This window comes from Homo sapiens, chromosome 19 (assembly GCF_000001405.40).
Source record: "Homo sapiens chromosome 19, GRCh38.p14 Primary Assembly".
NCBI lineage: Eukaryota > Metazoa > Chordata > Mammalia > Primates > Hominidae > Homo > Homo sapiens.
Window position 1 is genome coordinate 13,952,811 of NC_000019.10, and position 24,093 is coordinate 13,976,903.

Below are 24,093 nucleotides of genomic sequence, written 5' to 3' on the forward strand. Positions count from 1 at the left end.
AGGGGGCTCAGTTGGGGGCCTGGATGCAGGTGGTTGTGTCGGGTGACCGGCAAAGGGGCTGGGATGGAGGGGGTTGGGGGCGGGGCCCCAGGGAGGGGGCTCGGAGGGAGGCGACCCCAGAGGCCGCAGGGAGAATCAGGAGGAAGGGGGCGATCCAGGCTTTTCAAAGCTCTGCTCCCATGGTTGCTCCATAATGGAACCTTCCCGCCCCCTTTGCAGAGCCCCTGCCGCTGGCTTTGGGCTTCCTCCGCCTGATGTTCCTCTCCCTGCCCAAGCCCCGACCACACATGAGCTGGGAGTTCCAGTACCTGGGTGGGCCTCCCCATTGAAAGTGTGGGAGCTCCCTGGATAGGGCTGAGTCTTCCCCCGCAGAGTGAGAGTTACCGAAGCAGGCTCTGTCTCCTCCATCAGACTGGAAACTCCCAGAGCTGGGGGATGATGTCTCTCTCCCCCATCAGTTTGGGAGCTCTGGAGGGCAGAAATGTGGATCTCTTGCAGGTGGGCAGTAACTGGGGCAAGGCTGTGTCTCTGTGGACAGGGACTGCGCCTTCTCCGTGAGGCTGGTAGCTTTGTAAGGGCAGTGCTGTGTCTCCCCCTTTTGACTGGGAGCTCCCTGGGCTGGGACAGTCTCCGCCCTTAGCCTGGGAGCTCCCTGGGCTTGGCTGTGGTTCCGCCCTTAGCTTGGAAGCTCCTTGGGCAGGGACTGTGTCTCCCCTGTCGGCCTGGGCCTGGCTGGCCAGGCTGTTTCCTCCGTCAGACTGAGACCTCCATGTGGACAGGGCTGTCTCCCATCAGACAGGGAGCTTCCCAGACAGGACTCTTCCCATCAGATTGGAATGTCTTGAAGGCAGAGTTGGGTAGCAAGACTGAGGCTGTTCGGATATCCCTGTGCCTGGCTTCTGCCTGTCAGTCCCCGCAGATCCTTCCGCGGTGAAGTTTTGGGGATGAGGGATTCCCTTGGATTCCGTTGGAAGGCGGTAGTTAATTGGGAAGGGGGCGTTGGGTCATTGGTTAGGCTCACCCTTCTATCTGCCTCGACTGGCCCCCAGCAGAGGCCAGAGCTGCCCCGGGGAGGAGGAGCCCCCTTGTTTGAAGGCTGGTGGGTTGGGAACAGATGGGTGCAGGTCAGGACTCTGTCCCAGCCTCCTTAGTAGGATAAATACCCACAGCTTAGGGACAGCCTTCAGGGAGGGAAGCAGGTGGCCCAGCGTGGGACAGGGTGATTGGGGAACTTTCTTGGGGGCGGTGACGCTGGGCTCAGTCAAGAGGGACCTGAGGCTGAAGAGGTATGGAACTGGGAAGGTGGCCTGGGTCCCTGGTGGAGATGAAGGCTCAAGCGCGGTCCATCTGGCTTTACTGTCCCCATCTGCCTCAGTTGTTCCCACCTTCCAGAGCTTGGCCTTCTTTTGACCATTATGGTGGGCTGGGCCGGTCTGGACCCGGTGAGAGCCGCTCTGCCTCTCTGCCGTGGGTGAGGGGGCTGGGGGCTGCAGATGGTGCCTGAAGTGCCCTGGCCACCCCTTCCCCAGATCAGCGGACAGCTCTCCCCTCGCCTCTTCCGGAAGCTGCCTCCCCGGGTGTGCGTGTCCCTCAAGAACATTGTGGATGAGGACTTCCTCTATGCAGGGTGAGGCTGGGCCCAGGCAAAGGGGGCAGGTGGGCGGGAGTGGTGGGCTCGCCCTGACCTGGCCGCTGTGCCCCCTCCACCCCCACAGACATATCTTCCTGGGCTTTTCCAAATGCGGCCGCTACGTCCTCTCCTACACCAGCAGCAGTGGGGATGACGACTTCTCCTTCTACATCTACCATCTGTACTGGTGGGAGTTCAACGTTCACAGCAAGCTCAAGCTGGTAGGGAGGCTTCAACACCAGGCTGGCCCTTCAGATGGTGTGGTTCAGCAGGTCACAGCAACCTCTGAGCCTCAGGTTCCTTGGGTGTAAAATGATCATCATGTACTCCTGGGGTCATCATCAAGATTCCATGTGTTAGATCCAACCATATGAAATTACCAGGGCCTGGCATGGTAGCTCACACCTGTAATCCCAGCACTTTGGGAGGCCAAGGCGGGAGGATCACTTGGTCCGAGTAGTTCAAGACCAGGCTGGGCAACATGGCAAAACCCTGTCTCTACTAAAAATAAAAAAAAATTAGCTGGGCATATTGGCGTGTGCCTGTAGTCAGCTCCTCTGGAGGCTGAGGCAGGAGGATCACCTGAGCCCAAGAGTTTGAGGCTGCAGTGAGCCATGATCACACCATTGCACTCCAGCCTGGGCAACAGAGTGAGACCCTGTCTCTAAAACAAAACAAAACAAAACAAAACAAATGAAGGCTGGCCACAGTGGCTCACGCCTGTAATCCCAGCACTTTGGGAGCCCGAGGTGGGTGGATCACCTGAGGTCAGGAGTTCAAGACCAGCCTGGCCAACATGGTGAAACCCCATCTCTACTAAAAATACAAAATTAGCCGGGCATGGTGGCACATGTCTGTAATCCCAGCTATTCCGGAGGCTGAGGCAGGAGAATCGCTTAGAACCTGCGAGGTGGAGGTTGCAGTGAGCCGAGATCGAACCACTGCACTCCAGTCTACAGAGCAAGACTCTGTCTCAAAAAAGAAAAAGAAATTACCATTTTTATGGTTCAAAATGGGTAAATAGCAGCAATTCCATTTGGTTCAACACACCCTATGAAGCTGTAGAACATGTTGGCTCAGGCCAGTTAGCTTTATTAGGACCAGGCCACCCTGGCTTTAGCCTTGACCCTTGACTCCTGGAACCCCCCCAGGAGGTGTGCTGTTACCTCAGCATACATGTGAACTCAGAGAGCTGAACGGGCTTCAGGGTAGGCTGGGCTTGGAACCAGTGCCTGGCGCAGTCTCCCCCGGGACATTGTTCCCATCGGCTGCATCCCACCCTGGCCTGGTCTCCCCGACTGGTGAAAGGAGCCTCCACGGCTGTCCTCAGGCAAGGTGGAGGGGTGTGGCGGGTGCTGTTGGGGTGCTCCTACCCGCTCAGCCCCAGCCCTGATGAGGGACTGCATCGTACAGCTTCGGGGGACCTCCGCAGTTTCCCTGACCCGGTGCTGCCCCTGAACGTGCCTCACAGGTCCGGCAGGTTCGGCTATTCCAGGACGAGGAGATCTACAGCGACCTGTACCTGACCGTATGCGAGTGGCCCAGCGACGCCTCCAAGGTCATCGTCTTCGGCTTCAAGTGAGACCAGGCGCCTGGGGGAGCCTTGGCTGGTTGGGGCAGGGGGTGTGCAGTGGGGGCCCCCCAGGCGCCGACCAGGCAGCTGAGGGTATGCTGGCCCCCAGCACCCGCTCGGCCAACGGGATGCTCATGAACATGATGATGATGAGTGACGAGAACCACCGTGACATCTACGTCAGCACCGTGGCCGTGCCACCGCCAGGCCGCTGTGCTGCTTGCCAGGATGCCAGCCGAGCCCACCCAGGTGAGGGGGCCGAGGGGGCGAGGGCCTCTTCCCCCCTCCCCCCCTTGCTCCGGGCCGAGAGTGAGCTGCTGTGGCGTGTGTTGCTACAGGAGACCCGAATGCACAGTGCCTACGGCATGGCTTCATGCTGCACACCAAGTACCAGGTGGTCTACCCCTTCCCCACCTTCCAGCCCGCCTTCCAGCTCAAGAAGGACCAGGTGGTGCTGCTCAACACCAGCTACTCCCTGGTGGCCTGCGCCGTCTCCGTCCACTCGGCAGGTAGGCCCTGCGGTCTCGTGGCCACCCGGCAACGCGTGAAGCGGGTCCTCTCCCTACCCCACCACACAGACAAGGGGCCCCAGGCGTAGAGAGGTGGGAGCTACTTCCCCAAGTCACACAGCCTGGTTGTGGGAATGCTGCGGTCCAAATGTGGCCACGCCCACCACAGCCCTGCCCACGGGATCTTTCCAGTGGCTGAGATGTCCCACCATGGCTGCCTCCAGCAGCCACTTGGAATGTGGCTCATGTGACTGAGGAACTGAGCTTGTGATACTTTTTTTTCCACTGGAGTCCAGTGGTGCGATCTTGGCTCACTGCAACCTCCCAGGCTCAAGCAATTCTCCTGCCTCAGCCTCCCGAGAAGCTGGGACTACAGGCCTGTGCCATCATACCCAGCTAATTTTTGTGTTTTTAGTAGAGATGGGATTTCACCATGTTGATCAGGTTGGTCTCAAACTCCTGACCTCAAGTGATCCACTCACCTTGGCCTCCCAAAGTGTTGGGATGACAGGCGTGAGCCACCGCGTCTGGCCTGTGATGGATTTAATTGTAGTTGTTTTAAGCTGAAATAGCTACAGTTGGCTAGCTGGACGGGGTAGCGCCCCTTTCTCTTAAGAAGAGAAACGCTAATGTGACATTTCAGGGTGTGGTTAGTGGGCAGGCACTTGGCATTATATGTTTGATATCGGAAAGATGCCAGTGAGAATCACAAGATGTCCCTTGACAGTGACAAATGTCAGGAGGCTGGATCATGCCACCGGCTGGCAGCAACAGGAGGGAGGGGGCCCCGGGGGCCATTTGGCAACAGAATTGTGACTATGACTGACCCAGCTGCCCTGTGCCCGGGTCTCTCCCTCTGGCAGAGTCTCACTGGGTCCGTATGTCCAAGACTGCTGAGGGGGAGTTGGGGGCCACCTGAAGAACCCTCCCTGGGGATTGGGGAGCGACTTAGGAGGTGGCGAGGGGTTGGGGGCATCTGTGGAACACCAATGAAGGCCCCTGTGTGTGCATCCATGGAGCATGTGTCAGATGCGTGCACATGTGGGTGAAACACAAGGAATCTATAACTGGAACCACTTAATATAAATTAAAAAGACGATTTAGGCCAGGCACAGTGGCTCATGCCTGTAATCCCAGCACTTTGGGAGGCTGAGGCAGGCGGATCACATGAGATCAGGGAGTTCAAGACCAGTGTGGCCAACACGGTGAAACCCCATCTCTAGTAAAAATATAAGAATTAGCTGGGCATGGTGGCACATGCTTATAATTCCAGCTACTCAGGAGACTGAGGGAGGCGGAGGTTGCAGTGAGCCGAGATTGTGCCAATGTACTCCAGCCTGGGAGACAGCAAGACTCCATCTCCAAAAAAAAAAGACGTTTTAATTTTGCAAGAACTCAGATGCAAAGACGTCCATTAAATCCTCATGGAAATGGTTGTCCCTGGGGCGGTCGGGGAATGGGCAGGATTAAATGTATATAACGCAGCCCACAAATAAGCCAGGGGCCAGGGCACTCTGTCCCCAGACATATCTGGGGCTTTCTGTCCTCACCCCCAATCTATACCAGGAAGGGTGAGGCGCTGTCTCTTGCTGAGGCTTGACCACTTGGTTTTTGGCCATGAACCCCCCAGCTTGCGAGGGTTGACGCCGCTCTGCCCTTTTGGCTGTGGGTCCTGTTAGGAACGACCACAGCGGACTATCAGCTCTGTACCAGCCCAGGGAAAGGGCGTGGTCATCAGTGGGAGCTGCCGACACAGAGGGGTGCTTTCTTCCTTGGCCATTGTCACCTTCTGTTCCCCGCCCTGTTGTGGGAGGGCTGTCACGGTGGTGGAGGGGAGCCCGTACTCGATTTTTCTCAGATGTGACCTTGGGCATGTTTATCCCTGAGCTGCATTCTGGGGGATGTGGCCCCTCTCTAGGGGTTGCTTGTAGGGGGCTTGGAGGAAACCTGGGTTGGGGCCCAGCCACAGGGTTGCTTAGTGAATATGTTGGGGTTCTCCATGTGTTCCCCACATTCCTTGGGGGAGTCGTCTCTAGGCAGGCAGAGACAGAGGCCCTGATTCGATGAAGTGTGCCCGCAGTGGTCTGGCTTGTGTCAGGAAGGACCGAGGGCTTTGCCTTAGGTCTTCCATATCAGAGAAACGCCAGTGAAAATCACAAGATGTCCCTCGACAGAGTGGCAGATGTTAGGAGGCTGGATGCTACTGTAGTGAACACTCTACGCTGTAGAGTGTTGTCTCCCTCAGGGCAGGGTTCTGTCTGTCTGGTTCACTCCTGTGTCCTCAGTGTGGGGCGCTCAGTAGACAGCTTAAGAAAGGGGTTTGAATGAACGTCTGCACGCATGAATGCGTGGTGTGCATGCGCAGAAAGGTCTTTCCCCTTTTGGGTGTTTCAAACTGATCTCAGCATAGCCAAGTCTCCTAGAAGTGTCTCCTTAAGGTGGGTTTCTGAAAACCCCTGGGGACACTGAGCGAGGCTGGGAGCACCCCAGACTGACACTTCTCCACCCCCATCTCTTCTTAGGTGACAGGAGTTTCTGCCAAATCCTGTATGACCACAGCACCTGCCCCCTGGCGCCTGCCAGCCCCCCTGAGCCCCAGAGCCCAGAGCTGCCCCCTGCCCTCCCCAGCTTCTGCCCTGAGGCGGCCCCAGCCCGTTCTTCTGGGTCTCCTGAGCCCTCGCCCGCCATTGCCAAAGCCAAGGAGTTTGTGGCTGACATCTTCCGCCGGGCCAAAGAGGCCAAGGGCGGGGTCCCTGAGGAAGCCCGGCCTGCCCTGTGCCCAGGACCCTCTGGCAGCCGCTGCCGTGCGCACTCTGAGCCCCTAGCCCTGTGTGGAGAGACGGCACCCCGGGACAGCCCCCCTGCCTCGGAGGCACCTGCCTCCGAGCCTGGCTATGTCAACTACACCAAGCTGTACTATGTGCTGGAGTCCGGAGAGGGGACGGAGCCGGAGGATGGTGAGCGGGGGGCAGGCATGTGACAGGGCCTGGGATGGAGAGGCCAGCCCAGACGGGGCCCCTGGCCTCCCTCCACCCCACCCCCACTTCCTGCCTCCCCAGAGTTGGAGGACGACAAGATCTCCCTGCCCTTCGTGGTGACTGATCTTCGTGGCCGCAACCTGCGGCCCATGCGGGAGCGGACTGCTGTCCAGGTGGGTGTGGGCAGTGGGCGGGCCAAGGACAGTCCCGGGGAGCTGCCGGGGGGCAGTTGGCACCGTCCCCTGCGCCTACCCACTCACCCGCAGGGCCAGTACCTGACAGTGGAGCAGCTCACACTAGACTTCGAATATGTTATCAATGAGGTCATCCGCCACGACGCTACCTGGGGCCATCAGTTCTGTTCTTTCAGCGACTATGACATCGTCATTCTGGAGGTGGGCCCAGGGCGGGCAGGGTGGGCCCAGGGCCTCCTGTACTCTGGGGTCGCCCTCAACAGTTGGCATCATCCACCCCCACCCCCAGGTCTGCCCAGAAACCAACCAGGTCCTCATCAACATTGGCCTGCTGCTCCTGGCCTTCCCGTCCCCCACTGAGGAGGGCCAGCTCCGGTGAGCGCGGGGATCCTGCCCTCTCTGTCCACTAGGGGGGCCACTGGCAGACACTTCACGGTGGGGGTGTGGGGACGTGAGAAGGCTCTCCCTGTGCCACAACCTGGCTGGGCCCCTCCATAGCTGTTCCAAAGACAAAAGGCCCTCAGGGTAGCCTGGGGCCTGGTTCAGGAGCCCGGCTGTCCCAGCGTTTGTCCTATGTCCCTCTCCACTGTAGACCAAAGACCTATCACACCAGCCTCAAGGTGGCATGGGACCTCAACACAGGGATCTTCGAGACAGTCAGTGTAGGCGACCTGACTGAGGTCAAAGGGCAGACCAGGTGAGGCAGGGCTGGGGGGCAGGGTCAGGGCGCGGCCAAGGCGACGAGAGCCACTCACCCCCTGGCCCCGCAGCGGCAGTGTCTGGAGCTCCTACCGCAAGAGCTGCGTGGACATGGTCATGAAGTGGCTGGTGCCGGAGAGCAGCGGCCGCTACGTCAACAGGATGACCAATGAGGCGCTGCACAAAGGTGGGGCTCGGTGACCCCGTGATGGTCAGGGTCACCAGGAACACTTGTCCTCACCCAGGAGCTGATTCCTGAGCGCTGATGAAATGGGTGGGAAGGCTGGTGAGGAGAGGGCAGCCCAGGCCAGGCCCAGCTCAGCAGCCCTGAAAGTGTGGGGCCTGGGAGCCTCCCACCAGTCATGGCCTGGCTGGTCACTCATTCACGCTACATTTATTGGGTAGCTGCAGGCTAGAGGTGGAGGGCAACTCAGCAGGGTCCCTGCCTTCTGGAACCTTCTGGGCCAGAAGCAAGTCAGGTGGAGGGTGTGGCCGCAGGGCCAGGCAGGCAGGGGCTCTATGCTTTGTCTCCACCTGTCCCTGTAGGGTGCTCCCTGAAGGTTCTGGCGGACAGCGAGCGATATACGTGGATCGTGCTGTGAGGGCCAGGCCGCCCCGGACACTGACTCCAACTACCTCCGTGGCCTGGGACCGGCCCCCTTCCTGGGGTGGCCTCTTCCTGGCCGGCTGGCCCACCGACTGATGACCGGCACTAGTGTTAGCCTGCGGAACGGGGCTGGGCAGGGCAGCCTCTGTTGGCCTGAGGGTCTGGACGCTTTTTATTTATGCCTATTTAAGTTGGGAAGGGGCAGAGAGAGGGCGCCCCCTGCCCCACCAGCCTGAGTGCCCCGCCTTCACCCCGAGCTGGGCATGGGCCTGGCCCCTCGTGCATTTGCCCTTTTCTCGGCTACAGCTGTGGACGTTGCCCTCGGGGAGGTCGAATGGACCCCATTCCCCCTGCCCTGCCCGCCCCCAGCCTCCCCACCCAGGCCGGCAACCTGGCCATCCCCATTCCGTTCTTCTTCATGTAATAAATGTTTTAATTTCTGAACCTCATTGAGGTCCTGTCACTGCAGCTTGGGGCCCAGCTGGAGCCCCCGCCCCAAGGCCCCCACCAAGGCCCGGCGAGTCAGCAGTAGGCAAATATCACAGCGGAATTTATTGTTTTAAGAAAGACTACAAAAAGGTAGAAAACAGCTCGGCACACTAGACTACCACACGTGTGGACACTTTCACCACCGGGAGAGGGAGCCCCGTGGGCACGGGGACTGGGCAGGGCCGCCCCAAAAGCTATAGCACGCGGAGCACACAAAATAGTGATTTTTATACAATAGGTCAGATTTCCATTTTTTTTTCCTTTTTCTTGCCATAAACATCTATCTCACAGGCTGAAAACACTGAGAAAACTGGAACAGATAAGGCCATGATGGTTGGAAAAAAACCCAACAAGTTACCAACTCCGCTCGGGCGGCGCTCACGAATCGCACAATAGTCATGGGGTGGGGGTCGCACGGCACGGAGGAGAAGCGTGGTCTCCGGGAAGATAGGGGCACAGAAAAGGTTCCATTACAAACCAGCGGCGGAGGGCGGGGGCGCGGGGGCTGGGGTCTGTGGGCACTCCCCGGCTCCGCGGCTCGCTGCTCTTTGGAAGCTGGAGGCCGTGCCCCCTGCCGCCCTCCTCACAGCCGGGCCGGGCAGTGCCCCCTTCTTGAGCTTGGGGGCAAGGGAGGGCCCAGCGCTGGAGAAGATGCGACACCCACGGCTTTAATTGCACTTAATACCAAGAAGGGGAAGCAGTGGGGTTGCTGGGGGTAGGGTGTCCCGGGGCTGCTGCTGACAGTGGGGAGTCCCCAGGTGACGCCCACCTGCGCCGGCCCGGGGCTCAGGGCTGGGCCCAGGACAGGCTGTGCAAAGCCAGCGAGCTGAATAAGTTAACAGTTTCGCACGGGAGGGGGCCTGCCTGCCTGCCCCCTGGGGTGGTGGGAGGACGGGGCTGGGGAGAAGACGCTGGGGCCTGGGAGGGGGGCGGCCAAGGGGCCGAGCTGGATGCCCCGCGGGGCACCTGGGCACGCGGCGGGTTCCTTAAGGCACGTCTTTTGTGTCAGAGTTTGCAGCTGCGGCTCCGCCCAGCCCACTGATTGTGCCGGCCCCATAAGGGAGGAGGGCCCCGGTCTTCCCTGTCTCGGAGTCCCCCTCCCTGCCCTGGCTGAGGCTGGAGCAGTGACCACGAAGCCACAGAAGCTTTGAGGGACCCTGGCGTGGAGGGGTGGCGGGGGCGGGTGGGGCGGGGAGGCCAAGGGCTTAGCTGGAGGGCAGCGCCTGCACGAAGAGGCCGCGCGCGTCAGTCCGCGCCAGCTTGGCCGGCGGCTCCAGGGTCTCCGGGCCCAGCGCGGGTGACTCGCCGCCAGCCGCCAGTGAGATGTCCTGCGGCAGCTCGTCCTCGCTCTCCTCCTCCTCTTCTTCCTCCTCGTCTGGAACACAGGGACCAAGTCCGGCTCGGGGCGGGGTGGCAACGCCCCCGGGCTCCTCCTCCTCCCGAGCCCCTCCGTTGTCCGCCACCCCCGGGACCCGCGCCCTGGGTGGGAACACGCCTCGCCTACCTTTGTCGGGGTCCAGGGGGTTCAGGGAGGTGGCCAGATTGGCGAACTGGAGGAAGAAGAGAAGAAAATGGGTGAGGGTCCCGCCGCCTGGCGCCCCGCCCGCGCCCCCAGTGGCCCGCCTCGCGCACCTCGCCCATGACGGCGATGGGGGTCTCGCCCTTGGCCTGGGCTACGCGGTGCTCGATCAGGTAGTACATGTACTCGTCGTAGAGCAGCCGGATGAGGTGGAAGGAACCGAAGCTGGCGGCGCTGCGCAGGGTCAGGTCCCGGATCACCATGGAGCTGGGGATGGAGACGGAGAGGAGACCGTCAGGCCCCGTCCGGCCCGACCCCCTCTCCCCCTCCCCGCTGCGATGCGCCCGGGCCTCGCGCCAGCCCAGTGACTCAGGCTGGATCCCGCACAGCCTTCCCGGCACATGAGCCCAGGGCCCCAGCCTGCCCGCCCAGCCTGCAGGCTCGGGTCGTCGTAGAAGAGCACCTGAGACCCCCAGGGACGCGGGGCCTTCCCTGGTGCCGCCCGGACCCGATCCCGCCGCGCGCGCACCTGTAGAAGGACCACTTGAGGAGGAAGAGCTTGGCGGCCTTGGGGAAGCCGGCGCTGCCCTGGTAGGGCTTGAGCACCTGGCTCACCACGCCGTCCAGCCAGGCCGCCCACTGCTCCAGCGAGTTCTGCTGCTGCAGCGTCACCTTGAAGTCCTGCTCCAGCCGCTGCACCACGCGGTCCTCGCAGCGGCACACCCACGAGGCCTGCTCCTGGGGCACAGAGGGTGGGCGGGCGCCCGGGGCTCAGCCGCCGTCACCCCCGCCTGGCCCGCCCCGTTAGGCTGCCCCTCATTCGCCCGCCCCGCCCCGCCCCGCGCTCACCTGCACGTTGGCGAAGTCCACGCGGTTGAGGTCGCTCAGCATCTGGTTGATCTGTGCGGTGTTCTGCAGCACAGCGCGCGCCGCCTGCGCCAGGTGGTTGAGCGACGTGTAGCGCCGCAGTGTCTGCGCGAAGGCGCCAGCCGCGGCCACCTGCGTGCAGGGATTGAGGGGCTTGCTGCTTCCAAGGAACCCCAGCCCGCCAGCCCTGGCCCCACCCCGCTGCAACCTCCCTAAGCCTGTTTCCTTTTTCCTAAAAAAGGAGGGATGTGCCTCGCTACTTTTGTTGGGACACAGAAGGATCGGGACCTTCAAACTTTGGGTGTCCACTCACAAGCGCCCCCCAAAATTCAATTTATTGTGTTCTGACCAGGGCACAATATTCTTTGAAATTTATTTATATTTTTTAAAATAACTATTGAGACAGGGTCTCGCCATGTTGCCCAGACTGGTCTCGAACTTCTGGCTTCAAGTGATCCTCCTGCCTTTGCCTCCCAAAATGTTGGGAGTGAGCCACCGTGCCAGGAAAGGCCTTTTTTTTTTTTTTAAAAACGAAAGAACACAATAGATAATATGGAGGGCACTGCACAGAAAGGGCAAACACTGCTTTGATAAACACGTTTCATTTTCTTTTTCTGTTTTTTGTTTGACACTGAATCTCTCTCTATCCAGGCTAGAGTGCAGTGGCGCGATCTCAGCTCACTGCATCCTCCGCCTCGTGGGTTCAAGCGATTCTCGTGCCTCAGCCTCCTGGGTAGCTGGGATCATAGGTGCACACCACCACGCCGGGCTAATTTTTGTATTTTTAGTAGAGACAAGGTTTCACCATGTTGGCCAGGCTGGTCTTGAACTCCTGACCTCAAGTGATCCGCCCGCCTCGCCTCCCAAAGTGCTGGGATTACAGGCATGAGCCACTACGCCCGGCCTCATTTTCTTTCGTACCCTGGAATCTCAGCTCTGGGAGAGGACAGGGGTTTTGTCCATCTTGTTCATTGCTGTGTACTGAGAAGGAGGTTGTGTGAATACATGAATACATGAGTCTCGCTGTTTCTTCTGAAGGGTTTGCTCCTGGATCTGGCATCTACTGTCTCCAAAGGCCCCAGTCCCTGCCCTGTGCCCAGCGGTGGTTTTTTTGTTTGTTTGTTTTTCCCAACCACATCCCATCAAATTCCTCACATCTAAGTAGTCAGCGAATGTGCATCTTTTGATGAAAAAGGCAAGTATTATGTTTCCTTATAGATGTTGTTGCCTTTCTTAAAAAGTTTTATCTGTTTCTGCACACCTGAAGCACTTTCTAGCAAGGCTGTCTAAAGGGAACTACTGTACATTTGCAGTTGGTTTTTATTTTTGAAAGATGCTGTGTTGAGTACAGTAACACCACAAAGGGGGTTGCATTTCAGAAGTGGGTGCCTGAGGACACTGGTTTATAAAGACAATGCCCAGGGTGCTCCCCGAGGCGGAGAAGGTCTCCCCTTCCTCCACAGGCATCATCCCTGGAACAGGCGTGGGGACAAATTTTACCGCCCCTGGGGAGCAGAGGAGACGGAGGCCTAAGCCCCAGAGATAGGAGAAAGGGACCCCCTCACACTCTCACCTTCACCCGCAGCATCTCCTCGGGGATGTTGACCATGGCGTGGGTGAGCCAGCTCTCCAGGCTCTTGGCAAAGTTCCGGATCGCTTGGGTCAAGGCACCTGTGGGCGGTGGCGGGGGTCGGTCAGGGCAGGGCGGGTGTATGTGGGGCAGGGGATGCCGAGCAGGCCGAGCACTCACTGGGGATGGGCCGCAGCACGTCGGGAATGAGGATTTCCACCAGGCCCTGGTACAGCACGTTGTCACAGTGCTTGGTCCATTGGAGCACGGGCTCGAACTTGGAGAGGAGCACCAGGATGGCTTTGGGCAGTCGCTTCTCGGCCTCGTCATGTCTGCGGGCACCCACCCCACCCCGGGTCACTGGGGTACTCTATGGTCCTGCCCCCATCGTCAGAAGGGAACAGGTAGCCCCTGTCCCTGACCCAGGGTCACTGGGGTACTCTGTGGTTCTACCCCCAGCATCAGAAGGCACAGGTACCCCCTTACCCCCACTCCAGGGTCAGTGGGGCACTCTGTGTCTTGCCTCCAGTGCCAGAAGGCACAGGTATACCTTGTCCCCAACCCAGGGTCACTGGGGGCACTCTGTGGCCCTGCCCCCAGCGTCAGAAGGGCACAGGTACCCCCGTCCCCAGGTAAGTACCCCCTGCCTCCCAAAGATCCCCAGGGTCTGGTTGGCACAGGCCCGAGGGGTGGGACGGGATCCTATGCCCTACCCTCCATACAGGGGTCAAACAGATTCCAGAACCTGCCACTCCAGGGAGAAGATGGTGCCCTGCCCCATGCCTGGGCTTAGTCAGGCACTCCACCCCCGACTGTTGAGTGTCGGGTGGCTATACACACTCCACACAGCCAAGGATATGTGTACCCCACAAACTGCAGGGGACAAGCAGGTGCCCCAACCCTGGCCATCAAAATCACCTGCGGGTCATGCCCTCCTCCCCCCTCTCCCTCCCACAGTCGCCGGGCAGTACTCACACAGCCAGCGGTGGCGCCTCACTGGGCTGGCTGAGGTTGTACCTCCAGAAGGTCTTCCACAGCGTCTCCACCAGGGTGAACTGCAGGTTCACCATGACGTCGACAATGGCCTGTGGCAGAGGCGGATGCTCAGGGAGGCTGGGGGGCAGCATGGCCCTCCCATGCCCGTGGCTGCGTCCCCGTCCACTTGCCTGCCCACCTGGCCACCCTACCTCACAGTGTTCCCGGTACAGGACCTGGAAGGCTTTGATGTCCCCGGGCCCGACGCCCTCAGGCAGCACCTTGCCCTGGAGGTCGAGCTCTGTGAAGTCAGGGAGGCTCCGAGAGGCATCTAGGGGGCCGGGGGGAACCGTGAGGCCCTTCATCCCCCTTGCCTGCCCACCCTGGGGTCCTACTGACCTGTCCGTTTCCCATCAGACTGGGGTCCCCCATGTGCCGGTGAGACAACGCTAGGTGGGGTGAGCGCCTGGCCCGGGCCCAGGACGGGCCCAGGAGTGAGGGCCCACACTCCTCTGGCAGAGAGGACAGGAGGGTCTTGTGCCAGCCCTGCCTGTCTGCTGAGTAACAGCACTGCACCAACCCTCAGGACGTGGGCCTCTGAGTCCCGGCTGCAACACAGCACCCACCTGGCCGGGGAATGGGTAGGCACCCAGGGCACAGTCAGGACCACAGGACACTGCCCTGAGCCTAAGCACCCCAGGTTGGGGCTAGCCATGGACAGTCGCCCTAGGGATGCCCCTCGACTCTGCTAGAAGTATTGTTCCCCACCCTCCAAATGGGATGTCCCGGCCTCCAGGGCAGGTGGGGAAATGAGCTCCCACGTGCTCAGGATCAAGGATGTGTGGCTGGACTGTGGGTTCCAAGGGTTGCTTGTTTACTTAGCATCCTTTGGCCCTGTTTTCATGGATTGTTGTTTACTTTGTCTTTTTTTTTTTTTAAGAGATGGGGTCTTGCTATGTTGCCCAGGCTGGTCTCCAACTCCTGGACTCAAGCAATTCCTCCCACCTCGGCCTCCCAACGTGCTGGGATTACACACGTGAGCCACTGCACCCGGCCTTTTTTATTTTCCTGAGACAGAGTCTCACTCACTGTGTCGCCCAGGCTGCAGTGCAATGGCATGATCTTGACTCACTGCAACCTCCGCCTCCTGAGTTCAAGCAATTCTCCTGCCTCAGCCTCCTGAGTAGCTGGGATTACAGGCACCCGCCACCACACCCGGCTAATTTTGGTATTTTTAGTAGAGATGGGGATTCACCATGTTGACTAGGCTGGTCTCGAACTCTTGACCTCAAGCGATTCCTCCAGCCTCGGCCTCCCAAAGTGCTGGGATTACAGACATGAACCACTGCACCAGGCCTTACTTTTAGAAACACTGGGTACACACCTGCCTTCTTGGCGAGTGAGTGGTCCTAGCCCTGTGGACACCATGGCTGTGGGATGGCTGGATGGGAAAGCGAGTGGGCCTCACAGGACTCATGAGAGAAGAGGACCTGCCGTCATATCTCCAAAAAGTAACCATGTCCAACTGGGTGGGATTTGAAATCTCATGTATGCCGGGCATGGTGGCTCATGCCTGTAATCCCAGAACTTTGGGAGGCCAAGGTGGGAGGATCACTTCAGGTCAGGAGTTCGAGACCAGCCTAGCCAAGATGGTGAAACCCCATCTCTCCTAAAGTTACTAAAATTAGCCAGGCATAGTGGCACGTGCCTGTAGTTCCAGCTACTCAGGAGGCTGAGGCAGGAGAATCACTTGAACCCAGGAGGCGGAGGTTGCAGTGAGCTAGGATGGTGCCACTGCACTCCAGCCTGGACGACAGAGAATCTATCTCAAAAAAATAAACAAATAAATACAAAAATAAAGAAAATCTCAAGTAGCATAAAGGGGATTCACTGGGAAGCTCAGAACCCCCGAGAAATGCTTTGCATTGAAAGAAATGAGAATCTACCTTGAAGAAGGATTCTAGGGACAGAACTGTCACTGTGGACGGAGACTGTGATGTCTCCCCCACCCCCTGCTGGTTCTCGGGCATCTCTCACCAAGCCCTCCCCAGCTCAGAGGCTGCCTGCCGCCATCCAGCTTTGGGAACCGTCTGCACGGGGCAGGGAGGCGGTGGTTGGGGAAGCACGGGCCAGGGAGCTCTCACCCAAAAATTGCTGGTACTGCTGCACCTGGGCGCTGATGTCCGACAGCCCCGTGCTCGGCTGCTGCCCCACCGCCACGCCGTTGGTCATGCCTTCCATCTTCTGGATGGGCTTGAGCCTGGAGTAGAATGGGCAGGTGGGCCGGCTGCTGGGGGCCGGCCTGTGTGCCCTTCCCCGCCTGCCCTGCCCTGGGTCCGGCCCTGCCTTCCTACCTCTGCTTCTGCGAGAAGGGCTGGCCCCGCATGGCCATGTGCTGCTGGTCCTCCATCAGCCGCAGCAGGGGTGAGCTGGCCTTGATGCGCAGGCCATAGTAGTGGTACTTGGAGTTGCCCCTGGGAGGGAGGTGGAGGGGAAGGGCTGGGCTGGGGGTCTGCCGGCTGGCCGGCCATGGAGCACCTCACAGCACACCCGTCTCCTCTCTGTTAGGAGAATGGATAGAGAGACGCCTGCCCTGCAGAGACGGGGGTGCTGCACTGAGGAGGCACAGGGGCTGTGGGTGTCAGGAGAGATCCAGCGGTTTGCCCAAGATTATGCATAAATGAATGGCTGAATGGATGAATGGCTGAACGAGGTGACGCTGAAGCTGGGAATGGGAACCGAGACGTGAGCGGAGGTGAGCCATGGGGGTTGCAAAGGAGAGGAAGAGAGGGGCGGGTTCTTGGGATGCCTTCTTGTTCCTTCCCGCATGAATTTACTGACTCACAGACCCTGATGAAGCACTGACTAGGTACAACCCCGCGTCATCGAGGTACGAGCACTGCAGACGGACCAGAACAACTGAAATAAGTCATGTAAAAGGCACGTGTGGGCCGGGCACGGTGGGGTCATGCCTATAATCCTAGCACTTTGGGAGGCCAAGGCAGGTGGATCACTTGAGGACAGGAGTTCAAGACCAGCCTGGCCAACATAGCAAAGCCCTGTCTCTACTAAAATTATTTTTTAAAAATTAGCTGGGCGTGGTGGCACATGCTTGTAGTCCCAAGCTACTCAAGAGGCTGAGGCATGAGAATGGCTTGAACCCGTGAGGCAGAGGTTGCAGTGAGCCGAGATTGAGTCACTGCACTCCAGCCTGGGCCACAGAGTGAGACTCTTGTCTCCAAAAAAAAAAAAAAGTCACGTGTGAGCGTGCTGAATGCTAAAGAGAAAAATAAAGCAGGGTTGGGGGGTGTCGGGCAGGGGAGAGGGGGAGGCTGCAGTTTTAGTTGAGGCAGTCAGGGGACGTGCAAGTAAGGAGGGGTGAGAAGCACATGAGGTGGAAGGCACCGCCAGTGCAAAGGCCTAGAGTGGGAGTGAGCGGGGCTGTCGAGGAGCCTCGCAGAGGCCGGCGGGACTGGGCTGGACTGGACTGCCTGAGATGACTCGGAGTGGGGGTGGGCCTTGGCATGCCCACCAATTCCCCAGGGACTGCTGGGAGTAGACGGATGGCCCTACCTGGTGCCCAGACGGCGGGTTCGCAGGCCCATGAAGACGGAGCGGATGAGCTTGCCGAAGGAGGCGGCGTTGACGGGCTCCAGCTTCTGCTCCTGGCAGTGCAGTAAGTAGTGGCAGTAGAGGGTGCTCCGTGGCAGACTCACGCCCTCAGCCGTCTCATAGTTGTCCAGGAGCCACTGGACCTGGGGTGGGAGGGAGATGGGAGAGCACCAGTCAGAGGCGCTTCCGTCATCTCTGAGTGCTGGGGCTGAGTGCCCCACATCGACTTCCAGCTGGGATCCTGACAGCCACGCCCACATAAGTTAGCACATCCTACTGCCATCCTCTCCAAGAACTATGTCCCACAGAACTCTAGAACTGCACTGTCCAATACAGTTGCCATGTATAGCTAAATACATTAAAGGCCGGGCACGGCTCACCCCTTTAGTTCCAGCACTTTGGGAGGCTAAGGTAGGAGGATCACTTGAGCCCAGGCTGGGCAACATAGGGAGACCCTGTCTCTACCAACGAATTTTTAAAAAAATTAGCTAGTGTCGTGGTGCACACCTGCAGTCCCAGCTATTTGGGAGGCTGAGGCAAGAGGATCCCTTCAGCTCAGAAGTTCAAGGCTGCAGTAGGCTATGGTCAAGCCACTATACTCCAGCCTGGATACAGTGAGACCTTGTCTCAAAAAAAAAAAAAAAAAAAAAAAAAAAAAAAAAAAATTAGCAGGACGTGGTGGCTCATGCCTGTAATCCCAGCACTTTGGGAGGCCAAGGCAGGTGGGTGGATCATGAGATCAGGAGACTGAGACCAGCCTGGTCAATATTGTGAAACCCCGTCTCTACTAAAAATACAAAAATTAGCTGGGAGTGGCGGTGTGCGCCTGTAGTCCCAGCTGCTTGGGAGGCTGAGACAGGAGAATCATTTGAACTTGGGAGGCAGAGGTTGCAGGGAGGCAGAGGCTGCAGTGAGCCAAGATCGCACCACTGCACTCCAACCTGTGCGACAGAGCAAGATTCCTTCTAAAAAAAAAAAATTATATGAATTTATGCAGAATGAAAAAAATCAAATTTTCAAGCCAGGAGTGGTGGCTCACACCTGTAATCCCAACACTTTGGGAGGCCGAGGCGGGCGGATCACCTGAAGTCAGAAGTTAGAGACCAGCCTGGCCAACATGGTGAAACCCTGTCTCTACTAAAAATACAAAAATTAGCCAGGTGTGGTGGTGGGCACCTGTCATCCCAGCTACTCGAGAGGCTGAGGCACAAAAATTGCTTGAACCTGGGAGGTGGGAAGGTTACAGTGAACTGAGATTGCGCCACTGCACTCCAGTCTGGGTGACAAGAGCAAAACTCCATCTCCAAAAAAGAAAAAAAAAGACTAGAATAGACTAGAAGCCAGGCTACATCAGGACCATGAGGGACCACCAGGACCACCAGCGCTGACCCACCCCACAATCACACAAATGTCGAAGGGCCCGGTTGGGGTTGGAATCCAGGGCTGCCCCAGGGACTTCACACAACCACTTCTAGGCACAGGGAGGTTCCAGCACCCGCCTTCCTGATGGTGGAAGAACCCTGTTCAGGAAGCTCCCCATGGCAGTGCTGGCTTCTCTCTGCCCTCATTATCTATTCTCTATAATCAATTTTAATCAGAATAGATGGCTGGGAGGATCGCCTGAGGCCAGGATTTTGAGACCAGCCTAGGCAACAGAGTGAGATCCTGTCTCTACAAAAAAAATTTTTTAAAATCCGCCAGGCGTGGTGGCTCACGTCTGTAATCCCAGCACTTTGGGAGGCCGAGGAGGGTGGATCACGAGGTCAGGAAATCGAGACCATCCTGGCCAACATGGTGAAACCCCGTCTCTACTAAAAATACAAAAATTAGCTGAGCGTGGTGGCACGCCTATAGTCCCAGCTACTCGGGAGACTGGGGCAGGAGAATCACTTGAACCCGGGAGGCGGAGGTCGCAGTGAGCCGAGATCATGCCACTGCACTTCAGCCTGGCGACAGAGCAAGACTCCGTCTTAAACAAACAAAAAAATTAGCCGGACATGGTGCGGCATGCCTGTAGTCCCAGCTACTTGCAAGGGTAAACTGGGAGGATCACTTGAGCCTGGGAGTTTGAGGCTGCAGTGAGCTATGATTACAGCACTGTGCTTCAGCCTGGACGACAGAACAAAACCCTGTCTCAAAAAAAAAAAAAAAAAAAAGTAGACAACATTTTTTTTTTTTTTTTGAGACAGAATCTTGCTGTGTCTCCCAGGCTTGAGTGCGGTGGCGCAGTCTCCGCTCACTGCAACCACCTCCCAGGTTCAAGCAAGTCTCATGCCTCACCCTCCTGAGTAGCTGGGATTACAGGTGCATACCACCATGCCCGGCTAATTTTTGTATTTTTAGTAGAGATGGAGTTTCACCATGTTGGTCGGGCTGGTCTTGAACTCCTGACTTCAGGTGATCCACCCACTTCAGTCTCCCAAAGTCCTGGGATTACAGGTGTGAGCCACAGCGCCCAGCCAACAATAGACAACACTTCTGTAGTATTGTGTTAAGAATTTCATGCATATCAGCTGAGGCCCAGAGAGGCTGAGTAATTTATCTGAGGCCACACAGCATTCAATCCCAGGACATCTGCATATGTTCTCTTCATTGGGGGCCACACAGGCTCCTGCTAGCGGTGGTTGGTAACCACCGTCATGGACTGGGCTTCTAGTGCCCACCACCCACCACTGCCTGCCTCCTCTGGGGCCCGCGTTGGGGCACTTACCGTGGCTGGCGAGGCACGGGTGGTGTGAGAGTAAGACTGGCTGGCACTGCCCAGCATGTAGCCGCCTTGGATCACGTAGGTGCCTGCTCCGCTGCCGCCGCCTCCGGTGCTGCCACTGCCACCCCCGCCACCGCCTCCCCCGCCGCCGCCGCCACCACCACTGCCACCACCTCCGCTGCTGTTGCTGGCCCCAGCCCCAGTGCTGGTGGAGCTGGCGACGACCTGGCTGCCGGACACGTACATGGGCATGGAGCCACTGCTGGCCACCGCCTGGGAGGTGGCGGGGGTGCTGACCTGGGTGGCCGTGCCTGCGGCCTCGTAGTAGCTGGTGCTTGCCGTCTGCGTGTACAGCGGCGTCTCGGGATAGGAGTAGGTGCTGGAACGGCTGGGAAAGAGGCAAAGCCAAGGGAGAGTCAGGGGGATGAGAACTGGGGGGCCGAGGGGCATGACTGTGCAGGAAGGGGGGTCCTAGGAGGGGACTGGGGAAGCAGCAGCTCCCCTGCAGCAAGGAGCAGATCCTAGCATTCATCTACAACGGACTGGGTACCATCCTGAGTGCTTGATGGGCAGTATTTCATATAATCATCAGCTGGGCATGGTGGCTCCTGCCTGTAATTCCAGCACTTTGGGAAGCAGAGGCAGGAGGATCGTTGAAGGCCAGGAGTTCAAGACTAGCCTGGGCCACATAGTGAAAACCCATCTCTACAAAAAATATGAAGATTAGCCAGGCATGCTGGTGCACACCTGCAATCCCAGCTACTTGGGAGGCTGAGGCAGGAAGATCCCTTGAGTCCAGGAGTTCAAGGTTGTAGTGAGCTATAACCATACTACCACTGCAGCAAAGCCTAGGTGACAGTGAGACTCTGGCTTTTTATTTTTGTTATTTTATTTATTTATTTACTTATTGAGACAGAGTCTTGCTCTGTCACCCAGGCTAGAGTGCAGTGTCGCAATCTTGGCTCACTGCAACCTCCGCCTCCTGGGTTCAAGCTATCCTCCTGCCTCAGCCTCCCAAGGAGCTGGGAATACAGGGCTCACCACCACACCAGGTTAATTTTTGTATTTTTTTAGTACAGTTGGTGTTCCACCATGTTGGCCAGGCTGGTCTCGAACTTCTGACCTCAAGTGATCCACCCGCCTCAGTCTCCCACAGTCCTGGGATTACAGGCATGAGCCACCACACCTGGCCGACCCTGTCTTTTTAATTAAAAAAAAAAAAAAATACCGAAGGGTTAGGGAACTTGGAATGCTACACACTTCATTAAAAAAATAAAATTGGCAAGTACTTCGAGTGCCTACTGTGTGCTAGGCACTGTTTCACACACTTTGGACACAGCAATGGACAAGAATGAAAAGCCCCGGCCCCCGGAACCGTCTAGTTGGGGAGACAGGCAAGAAGCCACGTGCAAAGGTAAATGAGAGATCATAACAGAAGGTGATCAGGCAGTGAGTGAAGCAGGAAGGGGGTGGGGCTAGAGAAGGCGATGCTGTGATTGGAAGGGACTAGAGAAGGCGACGCTGTGATTGGAGAAGACCATCAGGAATGCAGATATGTTTCCCCTGAGCCAAGCTACCTATCCCAGGCTGGGGAAGCCTCTCTCCTTCAGATATCGCGTGACGGGATGGGCACCGGTGACACAGGCTTGAGGCTGCAAATCGTCACAAGTATACAAGTATAAAAACCACCAGGGGTTCAACCTCAAGGGGCTGTTAAACAAAAGATGATGGAATCCTATGCAGGGGTGAAAGAGAAGGAGGCAAGGCTTGTCGTCCCCCGAAAGAACAAGCTCCAGAACCTAACACCGGGCAGATAAGAGGCAGAGAAGAGTGGGGACCGTGTGACCGAACAATAGGGAAGAATGCGTTGCATGTGGCATGCGTGTCTGTCATCTGTGGGCATGGAGGGCTCCGTCGAGGGGGACAGGCAGGGGGCACCTCTCACCATCTCGCTAAACATCGTTGGACATAGTTTTGATCTTTGAACTCTTTCAATGTACTAGTGATTAAAAACATAGCATTAGGCCAGGTGCAGTGTAATCACACCTGTAATCCCAGCACTTTGGGAGGACGAGGCGGGTGGATCACTTGAGGTCAGGAGTTCGAGACCAGCCTGGCCAACATAGTGAAACCGTCTCTACTAAAAATACAAAAATTAGCCAGGCATGGTGGCAGGCGCCTGTAGTCCCAGCTACTCAGGAGGCTGGGGCAGGAGGATCACTTGAACCTGGGAGGTGGAGGCTGTAGTGAGCTGAGATCATGCCACTGCACTCCAGCCTGGGTGACAGAGTGAAACTCCACCTCAAAAAAAAAAAAAAAAAGGGAGGGGGGCAGGGGCAGGCACGGTGGCTCACACCTGTAACCCCAGCACTCTGGGAGGCCAAGGCGGGTGGATCACCTGAGGTCAGGAGTTCAAGACCAGCCTGGCCAACATGATGAAACCCTCTCTCTACTGAAAATACAAAAAGTTAGCCGGGTGTGGTGGTGGGCGCCTGTAATCCCAACTACTCGGGAGACTGAGGCAGGAGAATCGCAGGAGAACCACCCTGAAGGTGGAGGTTGCAGTGAGCCAAGATTGCACCATTGCACTCCAGCTGTGCAACAAGAGGGAAACTCTATCTCAAAAAAAAAAAAAAAAATTAAACATCCAGAAAGACAGTGTGGTCAGTCAAGAGGTGGCCTGGCTCAGACTCTGAAGGTGGCAGGGGAGGGAGCCGCACAGGCCCGAGTGGTTGTGGGTGAACAAAGAGAGGGAGTTGAGGGGGACAGTGGAAGGAGATATGGAAGCATGGTCTTTGTCACACATCAGGTCCAGCTCTCGATCTCTCTGTCCTGCCCTATGTCTACCACACAAAGTGACACCAAGAGCACATGACCTGAGCAAGAGCCCCTACTTCTCCAAGGCGGGGGCCACAGCCTGCTCACTCCTGCACACCCAGCATGCAATGTGTGCTGCAAAAAGGTTGCTTTGGTAGATGGTTGCTGAATGACTGAATAAATGAATGTGTGCAGCTCTGGATGCCCCCCAGAACAGGACCAGGGATGGAGGCCCAGGGGCTGTGGCTTTGGCCAGGGTGGGGATAGGGCTGGCAAAGGGTCGGGAACTCGCAGTAATTCACTCAGAGGGAGAGACAGAAGGGGTGGGCAGCTGACAGCAGGAGTGGCCCCCAACAACTTCTCGTAGCAGAAAAACCCGATAGCAACGATGAACTAGGTGCAATCACACACACTATGATCACTGAGAGAGGAATTCAGACAGAAGCAAAGGAGAGACAGGAGAGACGCTACCAGGGATGGCAGCAGGAACCCTTGGACACCGTGTTCCTCTTTGCAATGCCCTGTCTGGCCCCTGCCAGCTTGGCTCAACCACACAGTGAAAAGATTAGCAGCACTGGAAAGAAACAAATGGAACTGTGAGGTAGCCGGACGCCGGGGACCAAGCCTCACGATTTAGATGCCTGGACCAGGCCCACTGGGGTCGGTCAGAGCATCATGACCCTAGGACTAAGTCGATCCATGAGCTAACCAATCCCAGCATTGTCCCCAGAAGAACAAGTGGCAGGGATGAAAAAAGAAATCATGCAAATGCAAAGAAAACCAAGTGAAACCTCTGGAAACTAAACCAACAGTAACTCTAGTACTGCAGCAATTTCTGTGGAGATGGGAGAGGGAAGGTGGCATGGAGGACCCCCGGCGAGGAGCCCGAGCCGGGACTGAAGCGGGGCCAGGACGTGGCCCCTGCCTGACACGGCCCATACACAGGAATGGTAGTGCTGTACCCAGGGAGGGGAAGAAGCCCCCTATGCATCACTGGGTGGGGACTGATGACATCGTGGCTGCTGCATCTGCACAGGGGTTATTACACAGCAGCTAAGAGGGTGACCAGGACCCACGAGGACACATGGTAGAAGAGCCAGGAAAGAAATAAGGTATGGATGGAATGTCCTGCGTCTATTTCTGACCACAGAAAGCGGGTAGAGGCTGGGCACTGTGGCTCATGCCTGTAATCCCAGCACTTTCGGAGGCCAAGACGGGAGGATCATTTAAGTCCAAGAGTTCGAGGAGATGAGCCTGGGCAACGTGGCAAAACCCCATCTCTACAAAAATACAAAAATTAGCTGAGCATGGTGGTGCACACCTGTAGTCCCAGCTACTAGGGAGGCT

The 24,093-nt window shown here is 57.7% G+C and overlaps 3 protein-coding genes across 22 annotated transcripts in view, besides 2 other annotated features; 1 reads left to right on the forward strand and 2 right to left on the reverse strand.

The window, feature by feature from the left end:
- Window positions 1–573, reverse strand: part of PODNL1 (podocan like 1) — a 22,197-nt gene extending 21,624 nt beyond the window's left edge. For all 4 annotated transcript variants that reach the window (XM_047439453.1, NM_001146255.2, XM_011528308.1 and 1 more), the window contains exon 1: window positions 309–573. In XM_047439453.1, coding sequence (XP_047295409.1) covers window positions 309–326 — 18 coding nt within the window. In that variant the 5' untranslated portion in view covers window positions 327–573. The remainder of the gene's footprint in view (window positions 1–308) is intronic.
- The window catches only part of DCAF15 (DDB1 and CUL4 associated factor 15), an 8,941-nt gene extending 302 nt beyond the window's left edge, over window positions 1–8,639 (forward strand). Inside the window, exons 2-13 of one of the 9 annotated variants that reach the window (NM_138353.4) lie at window positions 1,530–1,627; window positions 1,716–1,851; window positions 3,102–3,208; window positions 3,313–3,452; window positions 3,542–3,712; window positions 6,235–6,669; window positions 6,772–6,863; window positions 6,957–7,085; window positions 7,174–7,259; window positions 7,477–7,581; window positions 7,655–7,770; window positions 8,130–8,639. In NM_138353.4, the coding sequence (NP_612362.2) occupies window positions 1,530–1,627; window positions 1,716–1,851; window positions 3,102–3,208; window positions 3,313–3,452; window positions 3,542–3,712; window positions 6,235–6,669; window positions 6,772–6,863; window positions 6,957–7,085; window positions 7,174–7,259; window positions 7,477–7,581; window positions 7,655–7,770; window positions 8,130–8,185 (1,671 nt within the window). In that variant the 3' untranslated portion in view covers window positions 8,186–8,639. The remainder of the gene's footprint in view (window positions 1–1,529; window positions 1,628–1,715; window positions 1,852–3,101; window positions 3,209–3,312; window positions 3,453–3,541; window positions 3,713–6,234; window positions 6,670–6,771; window positions 6,864–6,956; window positions 7,086–7,173; window positions 7,260–7,476; window positions 7,582–7,654; window positions 7,771–8,129) is intronic. The other 8 variants (NM_001393638.1, NM_001393639.1, NM_001393637.1 and 5 more) reach the window with 8 other exon arrangements.
- Window positions 6,208–6,781: an enhancer, noted in NCBI's record as "H3K4me1 hESC enhancer chr19:14069830-14070403 (GRCh37/hg19 assembly coordinates)". NCBI's record gives its function as "activates a minimal SCP1, AML or CMV promoter by ChIP-STARR-seq in primed H9 embryonic stem cells {active_cell/tissue: H9 hESC(primed)}" and the evidence as "EXISTENCE:reporter gene assay evidence [ECO:0000049][PMID:30033119]".
- Window positions 6,782–7,354: an enhancer, noted in NCBI's record as "H3K4me1 hESC enhancer chr19:14070404-14070976 (GRCh37/hg19 assembly coordinates)". NCBI's record gives its function as "activates a minimal SCP1, AML or CMV promoter by ChIP-STARR-seq in primed H9 embryonic stem cells {active_cell/tissue: H9 hESC(primed)}" and the evidence as "EXISTENCE:reporter gene assay evidence [ECO:0000049][PMID:30033119]".
- RFX1 (regulatory factor X1) overlaps window positions 8,720–24,093 on the reverse strand; it is a 45,287-nt gene continuing 29,913 nt past the window's right edge. For 7 of the 9 annotated variants that reach the window (XM_011528170.3, XM_047439194.1, XM_011528167.3 and 4 more), the window contains 13 exons: window positions 19,933–20,317; window positions 17,184–17,365; window positions 15,965–16,084; window positions 15,755–15,870; window positions 13,823–13,941; window positions 13,611–13,720; window positions 12,816–12,967; window positions 12,639–12,736; window positions 11,048–11,197; window positions 10,728–10,936; window positions 10,312–10,465; window positions 10,184–10,229; window positions 8,720–10,054 (listed from right to left, as the gene is read on the reverse strand). In XM_011528170.3, the coding sequence (XP_011526472.1) occupies window positions 9,885–10,054; window positions 10,184–10,229; window positions 10,312–10,465; window positions 10,728–10,936; window positions 11,048–11,197; window positions 12,639–12,736; window positions 12,816–12,967; window positions 13,611–13,720; window positions 13,823–13,941; window positions 15,755–15,870; window positions 15,965–16,084; window positions 17,184–17,365; window positions 19,933–20,317 (2,011 nt within the window). In that variant the 3' untranslated portion in view covers window positions 8,720–9,884. The remainder of the gene's footprint in view (window positions 10,055–10,183; window positions 10,230–10,311; window positions 10,466–10,727; window positions 10,937–11,047; window positions 11,198–12,638; window positions 12,737–12,815; window positions 12,968–13,610; window positions 13,721–13,822; window positions 13,942–15,754; window positions 15,871–15,964; window positions 16,085–17,183; window positions 17,366–19,932; window positions 20,318–24,093) is intronic. The other 2 variants (XM_047439195.1, XM_047439192.1) reach the window with 1 other exon arrangement.